Here is a 21,297-nt window from a genome sequence, read left to right on the forward strand (position 1 = left end):
GTTTGGTCTTCTAAGCTATATGGATGATGTATTTTATTGGCTTCACTGTCATTCTAATAAGATGATTTTGGTCTCAGATGTATCTTTTTTTTTTTTTTTTTTTTTGGTAAAGCCAGGGTCTCACTTGATCACCCAGGCTGAAGTGCAGTGTGCATGATCATAGCTCAGTACATCCTGGAACTCCTGGCCTCAAGTGATCCTCCTGCTTTCGTCCCTTTTGCCAATGGCATACCAATTTTTTAGCACCAACAGCTCATTACCACATTGGCTATAGACATTTCCAAATAAGCATCAGAAGCCATTGGCCAATATATTTTTAAAAGACAGATAAATCTAAGCCATGTATGGTGGCTCATGCCTGTAATCCAAGCACTTTTGGAGGCCAAGACAGGAAGATTGCTTGAAGTCAGGAGTTCACGACTAGCCTGGGCAAAAAAAAATGAGACCCTGTCTCTTCAACAACAACGACAACAACACAATTAGCCAGGCGTGGTGGTGCACACCTGTAGTTGCAGCTACTAGGGAAGCTAAGGTGAGAAGATCCCTTGAGTCCAGGAGTTTGAGGCTAAAGTAAGGTATGATCGTGCCACTCACTCCACCCTGGGTGACAGAGCAATACCCTATCTCTAAAAAAAAAAAAAAAAAAAAAAAAAAGTGGGGTAGGGGTGGGGCAAAATTTAAAACATTTAATAAATTTTTTTAAAAATCTCTTGGGAGTTTAAACTGGGAGACAGAAGGCGGCAATTAGTTGGAGTCAGGGTGAAAGGTTGAATATAGAAGTCCTAATATGGTTAGAACATGGTAAGCTATAGCTGGGAGGGATTGATTTAAAACCATGCTAAGCATGAGCTATAAGATAAAGACAATATCAACAAGACAGAGAGTTAGCAAGGTGCAGTTGAACAAGGAATGTAGTTCAGTCACAAGTATCTCATATACTATGATGAATTCATCCCTCCCTCCCTCCCTCCCTCCCTCCCTCCCTCCCTTCCTCTCTTCTTCTGACACCTACTTATTGCCCACTTACTGTATCCCAGCAGGCAGACATACAATGACAGACACAGTTGCAGCTATCATTATGAAAGTTCCAGTCAAATGAACTCGATAGATTAGTACCACAGCCTAGTTCTAACCTTGGCCTTGTTCTAACCTAGTTCTAGTCATGGGATAAAATTAAGACAGAATCTTAGGGTATACAACATAGACAGTGACACAGAACAAATCTGAAATACCAGAGAGAACTGAGAAGCTTCAGAACAACAGCTTCATCCATTCTACTCTCAGCAATCCCAATCCACTCTTAATGCAACATCGTAAACATATAATTTTGCAGAAAGAGATCATTGCTGTCACATTTTCCCCGTACCCTGAGAGTCCATAATTTGCTCTTTAATATCATAAACAGGCCAAGGTCAGCCTCCTTGGGATCTTGTGCCAGATCTAAACAACTCTTACATTTAATATAAACCTGATGAATTACTGGAAGTGCACTCAATATCTAAAATAATGTGTGGCACATAGTAGATGATCCTTGTTGCTTCAGAATATTTATGGAATGAATGCATGAATAATGAAGCTCAGAAAGCAAGCAGAAAACAGATCATGCATCTTAGAAGAAGACTGCAGTGTTGCAGCAGAGTGGAAAGCCTCAGGCCATTGCAATAAGAGTATGCATTCTTTGAGGTATATAAGCCATGGAAACTTAAGGACAAAAATATCTGCAAATTGCATTCCTGTTTCTAATGTCAAGATTTCAAGAAGTAAAAATGATCCTTTTAAGTGTAATAGGCTTCTTACACCAAGAAATCTACTGAATTAGCCATCTTTCCAAGAGTGCAGGTTGAACCTGAAATTGCCCATTAGAAAGTAAAAATATACTGAATCAACCTTAAATCCAGCTTTTGTCTATTTAGATCCCATTAAGATGGCAACTGAACATTTATCTGGATAATGCAATCAATGCAGAGAGTCAGTTTTGGTACTTCAGGCCCATGTTTTTTTTTTCTCTCTCCCTCTTTTTTTTAGAACTAGGGTCTTGCTCTGTCCCTGTGTTCCCCAGGCTGGAGTGTAGTGGTATCATCACCACTCATTGCAGCCTTAAACTTTTGGCCTCAAGTGATACATCTGCCATGGCCTCCCAAACACTGGAATTCCAGGTATGAGCAACAGGCCTGGCCCTAAAGCCCATGTTTTCTATGGTAGGTTTTTTAGGTTTTCATTTTCCAGTTAACTACCTCCACTCTCCCCTGTAGTGATTTGCTATGGACACAAATTTGTTTTCTTGATGAACAGACAATTCCATCATTGGAAATACTTTGCTAAAGAGAACAATAGTTACAATAAGCATAACATTTATTAAAACCGGCTGTATTAATCTGTTTTCACACTCCTATAAAGAACTACCTGAGACTGAGTAATTTATAAAGAAAGTTTAATTGACTCATAGTTCTGCATGACTGGGGAGGCCTCAGGAAACTTCCAATCGTGGCAGAAGGTGAAGGGGAAGCAAGGCACGTCTTACAGGGTGGCAGGAGAGAGAGAGAGCACATAGAGGAAGCTGCCACTTTTAAACCATCAGATCTCTTGAGAACTCATTATCCTGACAACAGCATGGGAGAAACTGCCCCAATGATCCAATCACCTCTCACAAGGTCCCTCTCTTTACACATGGGGATTACAATTGGAGATGAAATTTGGGTGGGGACACAGAGCCAAACCATATCATTCTGCCCCTGGCCCCTCCCAAATCTCATATTCTTTTAACATTTCAAAACGCAGTCATGCCTTTCCAACAGTCCCCTAAAGTCTTAACTCATTCCAGCATTAATCCAAAAGTTCAAGTCCAAAGTCCCATCTGAGACAAGGCAATTCCCTTCTACCTATGAGCCTGTAAAATAAAAAGCAAATTAGTTACTTCCAAGTACAGTGGGGGTACAGGCACTGGGTAGATGCTCCCATTGCAAAAGGGAGAAATTGGCCAAAAAAGGGGCTAGAGGCCTTGTGCAAGTCCAAAACCCAGCAGGAAAGCCATTAAATCTTAAAGCTTCAAAATCTCCTTTGATTCCATATTTCATATCCAGAGCACACTGATGCAAGGAGTGGGCTCCCACAGCCTTGGGCAGCTCCACCCCTGTGGCTCTGCAGGGTACACCCCCTTTGGCTGCTTTCGTGGGCTGGCATTGAGTGCCTGCAGCTTTTCCAGGTGCACAGTGCAAACTACTGGTGGATCTACCATTCTGAGATGTGGAGGACAGTGGCTCTCTTCTCACAACTCCAATAGGCAGTACTCCAGTGGGGACTCTGTGTGGGGGCTCCAACCCTAGATTTCCCCTCCGTACTGCTGTAGTAGAGGCTTTTCATGAGGGCCATGCCCCTGCAGCAGACCCTCTGCCTGGACGTTCAGGCTTTTTCATACATTCCCTGAAATACAGGTGGAGGTTCCCAAACCTCAATTCTTGCCTTCTGTACACTTGCGAGTGCAACACCACATGGAACCCACCAAGGTTTAGGGCTTGCACCCTCTGAGGCAATGGCCCAAACTGTCCCTTGGCCCCTTCTAGCCACTGGTGGGGCTGGAGCAGCTGGCACAAAGGGCTGCAAGTCCCGAAGCTGCACAGAGCACAAGCAGGGCCCTGGGCCCAGCCCCTGAAAGCATTTTTCCTCCTAGGCCTCTGGGCCTGTAACGGGAAGGGCTGCTGTGAATATCTCTGACATGACCTAGAGACATTTTCCCAATTGTCTTGATGATTAACATTTGGCTCCTCATTGCTTATGCAAATTTCTGCAGCTGGCTTTGAATTTCTCTCCAGAAAAAGGGTGTTTCATTTCTACTGCTGGTCAGGCTGCAAATTTTCCACACTTTTATGCTCTGCTTCCCTTTTAAATGTAAGTTCCAATTTCAGGCCATCTCTTTCTTCACACGAGTGTACACTTTTAGAAAAGTCAGGTGACATCTTAAATGCTCTGCTGCTTAGAAATTTCTTCTGCCAGATACCCTAAATCATCTCTCTGAAGTTCAAAGTTTCACAGATCTCTAGGGCAGGAGTAAAATGCTGTCTGTCTCTTTGCTATAGCATAGCAAGAGTGCCTTTACACCATTGTTAATAAGTTCCTCATCTCCATCTGAGACCACTTCAGCCTGGGCTTCATCGTCCATATCACTATTAGCATTTTGGTCAAAATCATTCAGTAAGTCTCTAGGAAGTTCCAAACTTACACTCATCTTCCTGTCTTCTTCTAGGCCCTCCAATCTCCTCCAATCTCTGCCTATTACCAAGTTCCAAAGTCACTTCCACATTTTCAGGTATCTTTGTAGAAGTGTCCTACTCTCCTAGTACCAATTTTCTGTATTAATCCATTTTCACACTACTATAAAGAATACTGGCCAGGTGCAGTGGCTCATGCCTGTGATCCTAGCACTTTGGGAGGCCGAGGCGGGTGGATCACCTGAGGTCAGGAGTGTGAGACCAGCCTGGCCAAGATGGTGAAACCCTGTCTCTACAAAAAATACAAAAATTAGCCAAGTGTGGTGGCATGCATCTGTAGTCCCAGCTACTCGGGAGGCTGAGGCAGAAGAATCAGTTGAACCTGGGAGGCGGAAGTTGCAGTGAGCCGACATTGCGCTACTGCACTCTAGCCTGGGCAACAACAGTGAGACTCTTTTTTGGTTCCATATGACTTTTAGGATTGTTTTTTTTCAAGTTCTATGAAGAATGATGGTGGTATTTTGATGGGAATTGCATTGAATTTGTAGATTGCTTTTGGCAGTATGGTAACTTTCACAATATTGATTCTACCCATCCATGAGCATGGGATGTGTTTCTATTTGTCTGTATCATCTGTGCTTTCTTCCAGCAGTGTTTTGTAGTTTTCCATGTAGAGGTCTTTCACCTCCTTGGTTAGGTATTGTCGTAAGTATTTTATTATTATTATTTTTGCAGCTATTGCCAAAGGGGTTGAGTTCTTGATTTCATTATCAGCACTGTTGGGATATAGCAGAGCTACTGATTTGTGTACATTAATTTTGTATCCTGAAACTTTTCTGAATTTATCAGTTCTAGCAGCTTTTAGGACAAGTCTTTAGGGTTTTCTAGGTATACAATCATATCAACAACAGACAGCGGCAGTTTGACTTCCTCTTTACTGATTTGGATGCCCTTTCTTTCTTTCTTTTGTCTGATTGCTCTGGCTGTGGCTTCCAGTACTATGTTGAATAGAAGTGGTGAGGTTGAGTGTCCTTGTCTTGTTCCACTTCTCAGGGGGAATGTTTTTAACTTTTCCCTGTTCAGTATTAGGTTGGCTGTGGGTTTGTCATAGATGCCTTTTATTGCATTAAGGTATATCTCTTCTATGCCAATTTGCTGAGGATTTTAATCAAAAACTGTTGTTGGATTTTGTGAAATGCTTTTTCTGTGTCTATTTAGATGACCATGCGATTTTTGTTTTTAATTCTATTTATATGGTGCATCACATTTATTGACTTGCGTATGGTAAGCCATCCCTGCAACCCTGGTATGAAACCCACTTGAACAGGTTATATTTTTGCTATACTGTTCAATTTGGTTAACTAGTATTTTGTTAAGGATTTTTGCATCTATATTCATCAGGGATATTGGCCTGTAGTTTTATTGTTTTGTTATGTCTTTTCATGATTTTGGTATTAGGGTGATACTGGAAGCCACACGCTTTTAAACCATCAGATTGTGTGAGAACTCACAAGGGTGAGAACAGCATGAGGAAAACTGTCCCCATGATTTAATCACCTCCCACTATGTCCCTCTCTTGACATGGGGGGATTACAATTTGAGATGAGATTTGAGTGGGGACACAGACCCAAACCATATCACTGTCTGTGTGCCAGTCATATTCCAGGGTGCCATATATGTTTTTATTTAATCCTCTGGACAATGCTAGATGATTACCTTTAGTACATTGTTCAAAGTCAACATTGAGGAAGTGGTGGAAGTGGATTTTGAGTCAAGGCTTTTTGACTCAGGACCTGAACTCTTTACAGCTCACTGTAGTGGGTTGCATTGAGGCCCCCCCAAAAGATACATATTCAAGTCCTAAACTCCAGTACTTATGACTGTGAGCTTATTTGGAAATAGGGCCTTTGCAGATGTAATTAAATACAGATCTTAAGATGAAATCATCCTGGACTTAGGGTGGATTCTAAATCCAATGACTGGTATTTTTATAAAAAGAGAGACAGAGAAAAAGGCCTGTGAAGACAGAGCCAGAGATCAGAGTTATGCTACCACAAGCCAAGGAATGCCTGGGGCTATCAGAAGCTGGAAGAGGCGTGGAAAAATTCTTCCCCTTTACAGCCTTTGAAGGAAGTGTGTCCCTGTCAACAGCCTGATTTCGGACTTCTGGCCTCCAGAACTGTGAGACAATAAATTCCTGATTTTTTTTAACTTTTATTTTAGGTTCGGGGGTTCATGTGAAAGTTTGTTATATAGGTAAATTTGTGTCATGGGGGTTTGTTGTACAGATTATTTCATCACCCAAGTATTAAGCCCAGTACCCAGTGGTTATCTTTTTTGCTCCTCTCCCTCCTCCTACTCTCCTTCCTTAATTAGGCTCCAGGGTCTATTGTTTCCTTCTTTGTGTTTGTAAGTTCTTATCATTTAGCTCTCATTTATAAGTGAGAACATGTAGTATTTGGTTTTCTGTTCTTGCATTAGTTTGCTAAGGATAATAGCCTCCAGCTCCATCCACGTTCCTACAAAAGACATAATCTCATTCTTTTTTATGGCTGCATCCTGTTGTTTTTAAGCCACACAGTTTTTGGCACATTAAACAGACAACCAATAAACACTGCATGACTGAACAATAGAGTGAATTGCTTGAGGACTCAGTGAGTGACAATCAATTCTCTGGGTCAAACCACAGAATTCTAGAAATGTAGTGTTGTGGTGAGATATTACCAGGTGGGTAAACTGAGCTATAAAAGAATTGAAAACTGGCCAGGCAAGGTGGCTTATGCCTGTAATCCCAGTACTTGGGGAGGCTGAAGCAAAATAATAGCTTGAAGCCAGGAGTTTGATACCAGCCTGGACAACATAGTGAGAGTTTGTCTCAAAAATAAATAAATAAATAATTAGCCAGGAGGTTAAGGCTGCTGCAGTGAGCTCTGATCATGCCACTGGACCACAGAGATAGAGACACCGTATCACAAAAGAACAAGAAGAGGAGGAAGAGGAAGGGGAGGGGAGGGGGAGGGGAGGGAGAGGGGCAGGGGGGAAATAAAAATGTCCTCCCAAGCACACTTGTATTACAGGTCCAAGGTCGCAAGGTGAGTTAAAAGCCTAACCTCCTGATCCCCACTACTTCCCACCCACCACCAGGTACTACTGTAGCTGTGTTCTTAGAGTATAAGTCAGATAAAAGTAATTAAATTTGAGCTGTGTGAGAACTTCATAATGGAAGCAGAGTAGAAATAGGCTAGGCATTGCAGCAGCCGAGCTAAAAAATAAAAAAGGTACAATTAAGAATCCCTTAACTCTAGTGTCAGTTGCAAAAACTCTCCCACAGTCTTGAAGGCTGCAGAGTGGGAAGCTGATGTGTCAACGCTTTTCTCTTCTTTGCTTATCTCTGCCAATTTGATATTTTGTTCGTGTAGGGGAGCACGCCTGCCCTGAATGTCTCCACCTCTCTGCCTTTGCCCACGCTGTACCCTGCTTTGATTGCCCTCACCTTCGTGTCTGCATCCTACCCTTTTTAAGACTTAGCTCAAATACCAGCTCTCCTTTGACTCCTTGAGCTGTACTCATCTGTGTTCCCCAACACTTAGAGATTTCAGCACTTCCTGGATCTTGCTTACTGATGCTGACTTCATGTTGAACTAGCCACAGAAGCCACAGATTAAGTTCCATATAATTTCTCTGAGCCTCACTTTGTTCAATCTTTATTCATTCAGTCATACAATCATCAATATTTTGTGAGTAAACTAATATGCTCCAGGTCATGTTCATAATGCTGGGAAATGAAGGGAAAAGACAGCTGGAAATTATATTGGAGATAGGGAGAGGCAGATAATAAGTAAGTAATAGATGTTAGACTATCAGATAGTGACAAGTGTTATGAAGAACAAAAACAGGGTGGCTAGAGGGGATGGGGCCAATGTGATTAAGGGTTCAAAGAAGGGTTCATGGAAGAAAAGATGTTTTAAGTGGAACCTGGGTAAAAAAGCAGAGACCATGTTGAGAAGACCTGAATGAAAAGCACTCCCAGCAGCAGGGGGGAGCAGTGGCCCCAGGATGGAGAAATTCTTGGGTTATTCAAGGAAGAGGAGGGCCAGTATAAACAAATGAAAGTGTGACGGGATAAGAGCTACTGCAGATGGGCAGGGCACAGTGGTTCACACCTGTAATCCCAGCACTTTGGGAGGCCAAGGTGGGTAGATCACTTGAGCTCAGGAGTTCGAGATCAACCTGGGCAACATGATGAAACCCCATCTTTCCAAAAAAATACAAAAACATACAGCTGGGCATGGTGGTATGTGCCTATAGTCCCAGCTACTTGGGAGGCTGCAGTGAGAGGATCACCTGAGTCCAGGAGGTTGAGGCCACAGTGAGCCGAGCCATGATCCTGCCATTGCACTCCATCCTGGGTGACAGAACAAGATCCTGTCTCAAAAAAAAAAAAAAAAAAAAGAAGAGTTATTGCAGATGAATTTGAAGAGGTAGACAGAACAGATGCTGAAGGACCTGGTAGGCTGTGGAAAAGATATTGGATTTTATTCTAAAAGTGATGGGAAGCTCTTGGAATGTTCCAAACAGGGTAGTGTCATAATCAGATGTACTTTAAAAAATTGTCACTCTGGCTGCTAAGTGGAGAATGAGTAAGAGGTCAAGAGTGAAAGCAAGGAGACCATCTGGAGACTATTGTAATAGTCTAGGTAAGAGATGATGGCTTCTTGGAGCCAGGGCAAAGCAGTGGAGTTGGAGAATGGTATCAGATTTGGGGTACACTTTGTGGGTAGAACTGACAAGATGGACTGGAGGCTGAAGAAAGGGTCACTTAGGGATTACTCCTAGGGTTTTGTCTCTAGCCAATTGAGCTGCTATTTACTGAATGGAAACTAACTCCACACACCTGTGCTGTCATGATCCAAGCAGTATCAACCCTCAGATTTGTGAAATCTGTTTTTGTGAGGGACTAGAATGTAGCTCTTGTTTCATTTCGTGGCTCTGCCACTTCCCAGCTTTATGTGCCTTTGGGAAAGTCAACTTCTCCATGGCTCAGTTTTTTCAGCTAAAACCTGAGGAGCAGTACAGAATGGTTATTATGATGAGGATTTAGTGAGCTAATGTATGTAAAGTGCTTAGTGTGTTTCCTGGGACATTATGCATTCAAAAATGGTAGTATAGTATAGTCATTTGCCACATAACAATGTTTTCATCAAGGATGGACCACATATACAGCAATGGTCCCATAAGATTATAAATTCAGTGTACCTAAGTGTGCAGTGTTTATAAAGTCTACAGTAGTGTACAGTAATGTCCTAGGCCTTCACCTTCATGCACCCACTCACTCACTGACTCACCCAGAGTAACTTGCATTTGTGTAAGCTCCAGTCACATTATGCGCCCCAGGTAAGTAGAACATTTTTTATCTTTTGTACTGTATTTTTACTGTACCTTTTCAATGTTTTGATATATTTAGATAAACAAATACTACTCATTGTGTTATAGTTACTTGTAGTATTCAGTTTGGGTTTGTAGCCTAGGAGCAAGAGGCTACACAATATAGCCTAGGTATGTAGCAGGCTATACACTCTAGGTTAGTGTAAGTATATCCTATGGTGTTTGCACAATGATAAAATTGCCTAATGATGCATTCCTCAGAAAGTATCCCCATCATGAAATAACACATGACTGTAGAACTAGTCATTTCTGTCATCATTTTTTTTCTCTCTTTTTCTTGAAGGAGTCTCCCAGCTCTTTAGGATCCCAGTGCCCCCACATTGCTTCTTCTGATGGTGGCTCTGTACTCCCTATTACAGTGCTTCATCTAAACCCCCCTCCCTCTCACAAACCTCTGTAACCCCTTATCAAAGCTTGTTTATCTCATGGCTAGCTCTGTGTCATAGGGTTGACCTTATCAATTCTACTTGTACAATTTTAGAAGAGGCTGTCATCTCATTCATCAGCACACAAGCCGGAACTTCAGATTTTGATAAGACAAAAAAAAAAAAAAAAAACAAATTCTTATGAATTTGGAAACCTGAAGTTTCAAGAATTTAGGAGAGTAGTGTTGGGATAAAGGAATGACTCATTTACTATTTTCACTATTTTAAAAAATGGACTGGGAATACAACCTTGAATTCCAGTGACACCAAAATGGCCCTGTGAACTAGCAAGGCTGTGTGCATAGTAATCACAGAATAAATACCTAATGAACTGGTTTGAAATAAATTTTAATAAAGTTTTTAGTATCTTTTTGCACTGCATAATTGAACAATGATCAAAGAATAGGTAGGATAGGTAGGACTACAAATATTCAAACAAGAAGGGAGACTTCATTTGTACTAAGTATTAGGGCAAACTTTATCCTGTTGCTTTACAATTTTAATTTTCTTGAAGCCTTGAGTCAACGTTATTTAATATCATAGACATAGTGTTTTTGGCATATTCCCCATGATGAATTACTTATCTGCATAATTTATAATAATTTCTACTCTCATGAAGAATAAATGGTAATTAAATGAGGTTCTATCATTTATCTTGCCTTTGAGATTTGGTCAGTGTGAGTGACAGTTAAGTCTCGTCACTGTAGCTAAAGCTCTGCTTACTGAAATTCCAGCTCAGTTACCACAGTCGTTTGGTGATTGTACCCCATCTAAGATAATTAGTTCATTTCTTGGAAGTCAAATGGGGCTTGGAGTAAAATTGGAAACTCTGAAAATGTTGAGTTCAAAATGTAAATGACTTTTTACTGATAACTACCAAAAGTGAAGAATGACAAGTAAATGCCTTACCTAATTAGGAAATTTTTTTTACTTTATAAAGTCCTCCAGATTTAAAATTAGACTGCTTGTCAGCCTATGGGAATTGGTTGAGTCATGTGGAATTCTAATACAATAGAATCTGGATTTGGGCTTCTATATTTAGCCTCACTCAAATTCAGTCCTTTTTTATTTTTACATACATACAACCCAACTTAGCAACTGGTAATGACCGGGTAGAATGAGAGATATCTAGGATTTTTCTTAGATTGCAAGAAGGGCCTACAGAATTATCTTTCTCAGCTAATAAATTCTGATGTGGCTGAAACTTGAATTTGACATTTTGAATGGTTAGTAAGATCCACGTGGACAAAGACTAAGCCTTCGTGACCCCTCACTACCTCCATAACCTTGGCTTGCCATCTTGAAAACCAAACAATTGTCATGGCAGTTCAAGTCCTTTTCAGAAAGCTTAAACTAATTTAATAATTTAAATACATTTTTGTGATCTATAACTACTAATGAAAAAACATTCAATACACATGTATTGGTTACAATAATGGGTCTTTAGCTTTGTCTTTATTTAGGAAAGACTATCTACTTTAGGTGAGGTTGAGATGGTCCTGCATTCTATCACAGAGCTGTGGTGCCAGATCAAATGAATGGTAAATGGAATCAGACATGGACATGTACAGTATGATCTTTCTGAGTCAAGCATTCCCTGCTACATTAATGGCATAATTTAGAATTATTTGGGTTGTTTTATGAAATGCCTCCTTATTTATTAGTCATTTATACTTCACAGTAAGGTAGGGTAGGATTTCAAGGTGACAATATGATTATGATAATCAAATAAATACACAGGGTATGATACTATTGCTATTGCCAGCATATAATATGGTCTTGTGAAAGCTCTGAATGGTACAATATGCAATATTTATTTGATTTCTAATCCCAATATCGTTTTTAAATAAACAAATCTTGACCACATGGGAATGCTGCATAAAATTTATAAGGACTCTTTTTTTATTTTGGTAACAGAGCTCTTTGTTTTCCATTTTATTCTAATCTAATTATTTTACCTGGTATTGGTGATCATTTCTCACCATAAAGAGAAGCTCACATGTCTGAAACAAAAATCTTAAATTTGGTGGCATCATGCAGATGGAAGATGGAAATACTTCTAAAATTGAGGAGCATGGACAGGAATTCCACAAGATGATCTCAGCTTTGGATTGCCAAATAGAGAACACACAAGCCTCAGTTTGACAGACCAAATTTTATTCTTGAATCAAATGAATATGCTGTTTGCTCCTTGAACATATTTTATATTACCTATTCATTTAAAAGATTGGACTAGTATTATCGGATACCCTTAAACTTGGGTACAAAAGTAGTTTCCCTGAACATTAATAATTAACCCTTTCACTCGAGGCATGGATGAACCAGGATGAATAGCAAGAAACTTTTTTTTTTTTTTTTTGAGATGGAGTTTCACTCTTGTTGCCCAGGCTGGAGTGCAGTGGTGTAATTGCGGCTCACTGCAACCTCCGCCTCCCAGGTTCAAGCAATTCTCTGCCTCAGCCTCCTGAGTAGCTGGGATTACAGGCATGCGCCACCATTCCTGGTTAATTTTGTATTTTTAGTAAAGACAGGGTTTCTCCATGTTGGTCAGGCTGGTCTCGAACTCCTGACCTCAGATGATCCACCCACATCGGCCTCCCAAAATGCTGCGATTACAGGTGCAAGCCACTGCACCTGGTCAGAAATGGTTTTAAGAAATAAAGATATGGAAAATATTTATTGGAAATAAAATAAATTCTATACTAAATCATTGGATAATCTCTTCAACTGAAACACAATCTGTTTTGTTTTTTGTTTTTGTTTTTCTTGGCTGGGCCGCCTTATAGATCTTAGTTTCTAAGCTTTACCCTGTAATACTTTCATCTAAAGATGTCCAGCATGTCACTGACAAAGATACTTTATGCTTCCACTAACACCTTCTTCTTTCTCTGCAGATGTGTATGTATGTGTCTTTTAAATTCTCAGTCCTTAAAAACTTTGTCAGTCTACTCAACTAGCCAGAAAGAATATCTGTTTCCAATTATCTTCTTTATCTCCAACCCTAAATTCCTGGTACCTTCCTGTTACCTTTGCCACCTGGGGCTTCTCAATAAGTTCCAATGATTTCAAGCAAGTCAGCAAGGCTCCCAGGCATGCTGCCTTACAGATCAGATTAACCTGGCTTCAAACATTGGCACTGCCACATTTTAGTTTGGGGACTTTGAACAAGTCACTTTAATCTCCATGTGATATGGTTAGGCTTTGTGTCCCCACCCAAATCTCATCTTAAATTGTAATCCCCAGGTGTTTAGGAAGAGACCTGCTGGGAAGTGGTTAGATTATAGGGGCAGTTTCCCCCATTGCTGTTCTCCTGATAGTGAGTGAATTCTCATGAGATCTGATGGTTTTATAAATGGTAGATTTTCCTGCACTGACACATGCTCATTCTTGCCTGCCTTCTTGTAAGATCTGCTTCTCCTGTGCCTTCCACCATAACTGTAAGTTTTCTGAGGCCTCTCCAGCAATGCAGAACTGTGAGTCAATTAAACTTTTTTCTTTTAGAAATTACCCAGTCTCAGCTATTTCTTTATAGCAGTATGAGAATGGACTAATATACCATGCTTCAATGTCTTTGTCAGTAAAAAAAAAAAAAAAAAAAAAAAAAAAAAAAAAAAAGGAAATAATAATAATCCCTACTTTATTGTAAAATATCTAAAACACTAAGAATATCTGCCTGATAAATTTTAGCTCTTCATCTAAAAGTGTTATTATTTTTAAGCATTTCCCTGGCCTACCCCAAACTTCACAGTATAGTGGAGCATATAAAAATAATGTAATAATAATGCCTAACATTTATTGAGCCTTTACAATGTATTAGGCTGTTCTAAGCATATTAAAAGTACTGACTTAATTTTTACTATTCTTTTAAGTAGTTCTATTACTATTCATATTTATAGATCAGGAAACTGAGCCTCAGAAAAGTCAAAAACTCGTCCAAGTTCACATGGTTAGTAAGTGGTGAAGCCAATAATTAAATCCAGGCAGTCATTTGCTAAGCTGCCCAAGTATGCAGTTGTGAAATACCAGACTAGAATTCAGCACTCTTGGGTTCAGGCCCCAGATTGGTCACTTGCGAATTACCTTCAGTAATTCACTGGATCTCTCTGCGTTTCAGATTCTTCATCTCTAAAATGAGATAATTGTTCTTTACCTATCTACAGAATGTGGTAAAGATCAAATTAGAGAAATCACGAGTACTTGGCTAGCATTTGCAAGTAATTACTATTATTATTAACTTCAAATAATGTTTATGAATGTGTTTCATAAATTCTGGAAGACCTATTTAAATGTAGAGATGCCACTGCTGCTGATCATGATGGTTCCCAAAGGGTTTTGTTCACTACAAAAGATTGAGAAATGAATTCATGCTAAAGTATTCTTAGGTCTTGGGAGCTTAGGATACCATACCTGTTTTTTTATTTGTATAAATTTAAGGGGTGCAAGTGCAGTTTTGTTACATGGATATATTACATAGTTGTAAGTCTGGCCTTTTCGAATATCCATCACCTAAATAATGTACATTGTACCCATTAATTAATTTTTCATCTCTCACTTACCTCCCGCCCTACCACCCTTTGGAGTCTCCAATGTCTATCATTCCACACTCCATGTCCATGTGTGCACATTATTTAGCTCCCACTTTAAGGGAGAACATGAGGCACTTCACTTTTTGTTTCTGAGTTGTTTCACTTAAGATAATGGCCCTCCAGTTCCATCCATGTTGCTGCAAAAGACATAATTTCATTCTTTTTTATGGCTAAAGAGCATTCCATTGTGTTTATATATTTTCTTTATCCAGTCATCTGTTGATGGACATTTAGGTTGATTCCATGTTTTTGCTATTGTGAATAGGGCTGCAATAAACATATGAGGGCAGATATCTTTTTAACATAATGATTTTCCTTTGGGTAGATACACAATAAGGTGATTGCTTGATCAAATGTTAGTTTTGTTTTCAGTTCTTTGAGAAATATTAATTCTATTTTCCCATAGATGTTGTACTAATTTACATTGCCACCAACAGTGTACAAATGTTTCCTTTTCTCCACATCCTCACCAACTTCTGTTGTTTTTTGACTTTTTAATAATAGTCACTCTGACTGGTGTAAGATGGTATCTCATTGTGGTTTTAATTTGCATTTCTTTGATAATTAGTAATGTTGAGCATTTTTTTCATATGCTTGATGTCCATTTATACATCTTCTTTTGAAAAATGTCTATTCATATCCTTTGCCCACTTTTTAATGGGGTTATTGGTTTTTTTGTTGCTATTGTTGTGTTGTTTGAGTTATTTGTAGATTCTAGATATTAGTCCTCTGTTGGTTGTATAATTTGTAAATATTTTCTCCTATTCTGTAGGTTGTCTGTTCACTGACTTCTCTGCTAATGACATAGTATTTGGGGAGATTCCTTCACTGCACAATTCAATGGCAAGGACTTTAGGGGCTAGGGTTCCTGAAATCATGCCACTGAAGCGAACATCTTCTCCACCTACTGGAAAAAATTTGTTTGAGTCTTGCTGAGTAGTGTCAAAAGCCAAGATGATGAACAAAGTCTTTCTATGGGGAATTATTTTTTGTAAATCATAACCACTGCAACGATCCTTTCACAACCCTAATCTTTGTGACCTATCTTCTTGATCCATATCCTTCAGTGTGTGCATTGTTTTGGAGATAAAAATCCAAAATCCACATCCTGGCCTGGATGGTCAGGCATGGCCCAGTCCCTGTCTCCTGCTTTAGTCATAGCATACTCCTCATTTTCTGCCCTAGCCATATCTGTCTTCTTATAAATCCTCCCCATAGGGCCATTGCATGTGCTGATCTCACTGCCCAGTACATTCTTGACCCTGTCCTCTCCCCCTTCTTCTAGTTAAATTAGCTCATGTCCCTTTCTCAGAAAAGCCCCCTTGACCTTTATGATTCATCAGAGCTTATGATTTTTTTACTGAACCCTGAAAATCTCCTCCCCACAACTCTCAATGCAACTATACATTCATTGACATGATTACCTGACTGATGTTTCTCCTCCATTAGACTGAATGCTTCAATAAACCTATCAAAGGACCAAGAGCTTTGTGATCATATGTGTTTAATGCATGAATGAATGGGAATATTCTTCCACCTTCAGTGATATCTTCTCCAGTCTCATTTAAAAGACAAATAATTGAAGCCAAACTCCCCTGCTTTTCTTCCTCTTGAATATGCTATATTTTTTTCTGGAAAAGGTGGAATTTGAGAAAGTAAAGACAAATCATATAAAACTTTCTAAGGCTTCCTGAAAAAGAAATAAACAGTAAAAGAAAAGTGATACTTTTCTTCCTTTGTATAGAAAAGTTGAGAGAGGAAAAATATAAAACGATTAAAGAGAAGATAAGTAAATCTAATTACAGTGACTTCCAAGAAGCTGGCAATTGAAACTTCTGTTTATGAAGGAACTGGAACAAGAGGAGCAATAAGCATAATGGGATTGTGAGTTTTGATGAAAAAATGTAAGGAGAAAGAACCAATGTTTCTTTCTTTTTCTTTTCTTTTTTTTTTTTTTTGGCGTGGTTTTAAATTTGATTTAACACTGTGTCATAGTTGCTGTTTCTTAGAAGAATGTCTTTCTGGAATTTGCTTATCTTTCCTTTGTGTTAATAATGCCTCGCCAAGAGGTTATATGGCACACTAGTGTGGGGTGGGGGATTTGGAGTCTGATCTACGTGGACCCCGACTGGTTCTGACACTCACTAGCTATGTGATCCCTGAGAAGTTACTTAACACCTCTGGAACCTACCTTCTTCATCCATTAAATGGGGATAATATCAGTGCTTATCTCATGGGGTTATTATGATGTATCAGTGAGATAATGCAGGAACACCTTGGCACATTGCCTGACACATAGTAGGCACTTAATAAGTATTAGTTGTCATCATTACTATTGGTGATCCATGGTTATCTTTCAATATTTTAATCTAGGAGCTTTGGTTTGCAGATGACTGTATGGATGTATTGTTTTAATAATGCTGCAAAGTCTTTCAGAACAGGATCCATGGCTTATGCCCCAGGGAATATACCAGTTAAATTACCTTTCCCTGAATCTGGAATCCTTCACCTCTCTCCTTTATTTACTCTGAATGCCTAAGAGAATCTTCTTTTTCTGGCTTACTTATTGCATACTAATAGGAGAATATAAACAGAGAAACCTAGATTACTCTAAGTGGTGTGGGTGATTCATCTGAAGATTCACATGCATGTTCACATGGGAATACTTATGGATAGAACATATTGTCATTATCTAATCCAGTAAAAGATTAAGGACAATGCTTCACTCAAAATAATCATGGGATACAGTTGGAAATCACCTCAGAAATCACTCAGTCTACTGTTTCCAAACCTGTCTCAACGTAAGAGTCACCTGGAAAGCTTTCAACCAATACAGATTTCTAGGCTGATCCAAATTTACTGAATGTGATTTTCAAGAACCAGGCAACATGAAGTTCTACACCTCTCCCTGGGTGATTCTAATAATTAGTCAGGGTTGGGAATTGCTAGTTTAAAACAGTTGGCAAATGGTGTCATCCCACTTCCAACACTATGGATTAAGGGTAGCCCCCAGTGTGTTGGAATGAGAAGCATTCTATCAGGTTTCTGGGTTCAATGAGAAAGTGTACTGTAATCTGTTATTAATGCTTCATATGGTCTTTGTTAGGAGGATGATGGTACCTGTGTCCTGTACTTACCAGTACAGATCTAGTTCAATACCCACAGTTTCAAGATGTAGGAAGAGAATCAGAGGGGGAAAAACCTGACTTACTCTCTTAGTTGGCTTTAGCAACTTAACAAACTATTCCAACATTATTGGGTTAAAACAACCACCTTCTATTTACCTATAATTTTATGGGTTGTCTGGGTAAATTTTGTGACCTCGGTTGGCTTGACTTGGGCTGTGTCATCTAGAATAGCTTCATTCACATTCTTGGCAGTTGGAAGAATGGATGGTCCATTGGGCATCATTCACTCAGTCTGGCTATAGGTTTAAATTCAGCATCATCCAGCAGGCTAGTCTGAATTGCTCATACATGGCAGAATGGGTCTCAGCAGCCAGAGGGAGCAGAGTCCAATGGGCAAGCACTTTTCAAGCCTCTATTTGCATTGTTTTGCTAATGTTCCATTGATTGAACCATGACATGATGCTTAGGAGAAATAGATTTACACCTCTTGATGTGATAACATCACATTACAAATGAGTATGGAAACAGAAATGAGAGGACTTTATGATCATTTTGCCATGTATAGCACTTGTCCAAAATCACACATTTTGTTTGTAGAAGACCTAGGACTAGAAATCCATTGCTTACTTCTCAATTCAAAGTAGAAACAGAAACCAAAGGAAGTGTCATGCACATATAGCCTGTGGTGGACATTTGGATCTCAAAAGTAGGACAGGCTTCGCAGAGCTGGGGCTAGACAGCAGCCAATCAGATTGTAGGATGTAGGACTTGTCATTCCCAGTGACAATTTCAAGGAAGATCTTCAATGGGTCATAACAGACTCAGGATAATTTAAACCGAGGTCATATCTAAGGAGGTTAAGCCTGGTGAGTAGCGTATGACAATAGTAGAATTTCAGGCTGTGACTTCTTGGAGCCATAGGGTGACAGCATCAAGATTCCAGGTGGTCCCAAATCCTGCCAGTAACTGGGTGTTTAGAATGGTGTCAGCCTGGAAAATAAGACAGAGACTATTGAGGTCTATGTAGGTTACTGAGTTGAGGGTAAGTTCCTCCCAGTTACTTTCAAGGGAGGTGCTTCCTATAGACTATGATGGGAACTGCATATTCTGGAATGCTGATGTGCAACACAATGGCTCTGGTTTCCTCTTCCAACAAGGGAATTGTAGTGCAATCAAAAACATAGAACATTGTCCCAGTCAGAGGAATTGAATGAAATCTCTCACAACAACGAAAATAGCCCACAGCCCATTTTCTTCAAGTAGTTTGAATGTAACACAGTATGCACTGGTTTGGAAGCTAATACAAATGATAAGAGCTGCCATTCATCAAGCACATACTATGTGCTAGACACCATCCCTAGCACTCACCTCTGAGATTTATAGAAGATTGATTTTTTGTTGTTGTTTAAACACATTTTCTAGATGAGAGGAGTAAGGCTCAGAGAAGATAATGCAACTAGCTAGTTCATGAAGGCAGTTGGCTGCCAACTCAAGTCTGTCTGATGCCAAATCCTGAGCTCTTTCTTCCAGGGCGTCTTTCTTAACTTCGAATGTACTTTCATGTGACTCTCTATGCCTGAATTTGACCATCACCCATGACCATTAATAACCCTCTCTGTAAGGTAAAGTCAACCATTTTCTCTTCAAACATAGACACCTAAGTAGCTTGCAAATATATTACTTTGGCTTTCATTTAGGAGAGTAGATGCACAATATTTTATTAAAATCATGAGTCTTAGAAAAAAGTTAAAAGAAAAAGCTAAATAACATTTTTGCCCAGTTACTTGGAAATCAGGCAATTATCACATGATTACTCAGGCTGGTAATGAAATTAAGATAAAGTTTCATGAAAATAGCATATGCAATTTAACAGCCACAACAGAATTTGTGTAAATAAGAGCAGATGTGTCTGAATCTCTTGGATTTATAAATACAGAAACATTGTTCCTTTGGGGGTAAAAAATCATTCTTTACTCTGGATGTGGGAAGAGTATGACTCAGGGCCCTGGTGGTGACAGAGAAGGTGGGGATTCATAGCTAGGAGGCCCCTGCATTCCTGTAGCTTCCAACGCAGATGCTCTCACCTGGGAGAATCTGTATCTTTCCAACAGCAATTATATACACTGGGGAGCTGAGACGAAATGGTGAAATATGTATCGGGCTCAGCATAGGGATTTTTAAATCTGGATAACACTGGTTTTTCTCTCCTAAGAAAAGAAGCAAATTCATACTAACCACGGTTTGGGTTCAAAATACAAGCAAGTTTGCAGCTCCCAACTCTATATCAAAGGTAGGTTTATAAAGGGCAAACAATTTGTCTAAAACTATCCTTTGCCCTTTGCCCCCTTGAACTTGTCTCCTTAGAAAAGAGTGGGCAGCTAAGCCATTATCCTTCTTCTCTGAAAAGGTCTAAGGAGGAAGAAAGGCAGAGAGAGAGCGCGCGCGAGAGAGAGCGAGCCTTGAGTTTTTACTGTAAAGACCTTCTTTCTTGGAGGCACCAGGAAGAATCTGTTTCTGATCAGAAAGGCCAAAGTTGTAACAACCTGTAGTGGTTAAGAGCACAAGCTCAGAACAGCCTTGAATGCATTACCTGACAGCTCTATGGCTTCTTTTCTCAGCTATAAGATGGCACTTTGTGTATGTGATGCACAATGCATGCTGGAGAAAGATGAGCCATTAGTATGTAGGTGAACTGGGGGAAAAAAAACTGCTAAAGGTGGAAGTCCTGATCACAGAACCTTCCTGTGCAGGTGCTCTGTCCTCACTGTCTGGAGCCTCCTCCAACTCCCTCTTCAACAGGAGCTTGGCAGAAGACCAGAGAAGCTGAGTCATCCTCAAGGAGGAGTTTTTTTCACTGCATCCACTATAAGCAGTTCTCTAGTGGAAAAAAACAGGGCTTTAGCATAAGTCCTGAGTACGGGAGTGGGAGAATGGGCACTTGGGTGACTGGTGCTGCTTTCTTTTTGTCCCCCACACCTAAATAAACAAGTCATTTTCCCTCCATTGTGCCTGAAGTTAAGGGGCACTAAGTCAGTGGCAGCTTGGACTTGGGCTACAGAAAACTAACATAGGTGTCTGCTATTTTGCCTCTGTCTTGCCCAAGAACCATTCTTCAAGAGCCAGGCTTTCCATCTGGGCCTTTCCTCAACCCTACAGAGAAACAGTTCAGAAGAGAACACACTTTGGGGAGAATACAAAGTCTAAGATCTCTGTAGATCATAAAGAAGAGACAAATGAGGCTGTTAGAGCTGGTTCCTTCTCATTTTGCCATTAACAGTGAAAGCCCCAGAGCTCAAGTCCTGCTCCTCACATTTAAATCTCTTGTCTGGCCCACTGCCCTAAAATTCAGACTCCTACACAACTGCATCTTTGAAACCTACACTTGGTTGACTAATAAGAATTTTAAATTTAATGTATCTGAAAACTCTTAACTTCCCATCCCGGGTATATTAGTTTGTTCTCATGCTGCTAATAAAGATATACCTGAGACTGGATAATTTATATAGGA

Source organism: Homo sapiens, chromosome 3, assembly GCF_000001405.40.
Source record: "Homo sapiens chromosome 3, GRCh38.p14 Primary Assembly".
NCBI classification, from domain to species: domain Eukaryota; kingdom Metazoa; phylum Chordata; class Mammalia; order Primates; family Hominidae; genus Homo; species Homo sapiens.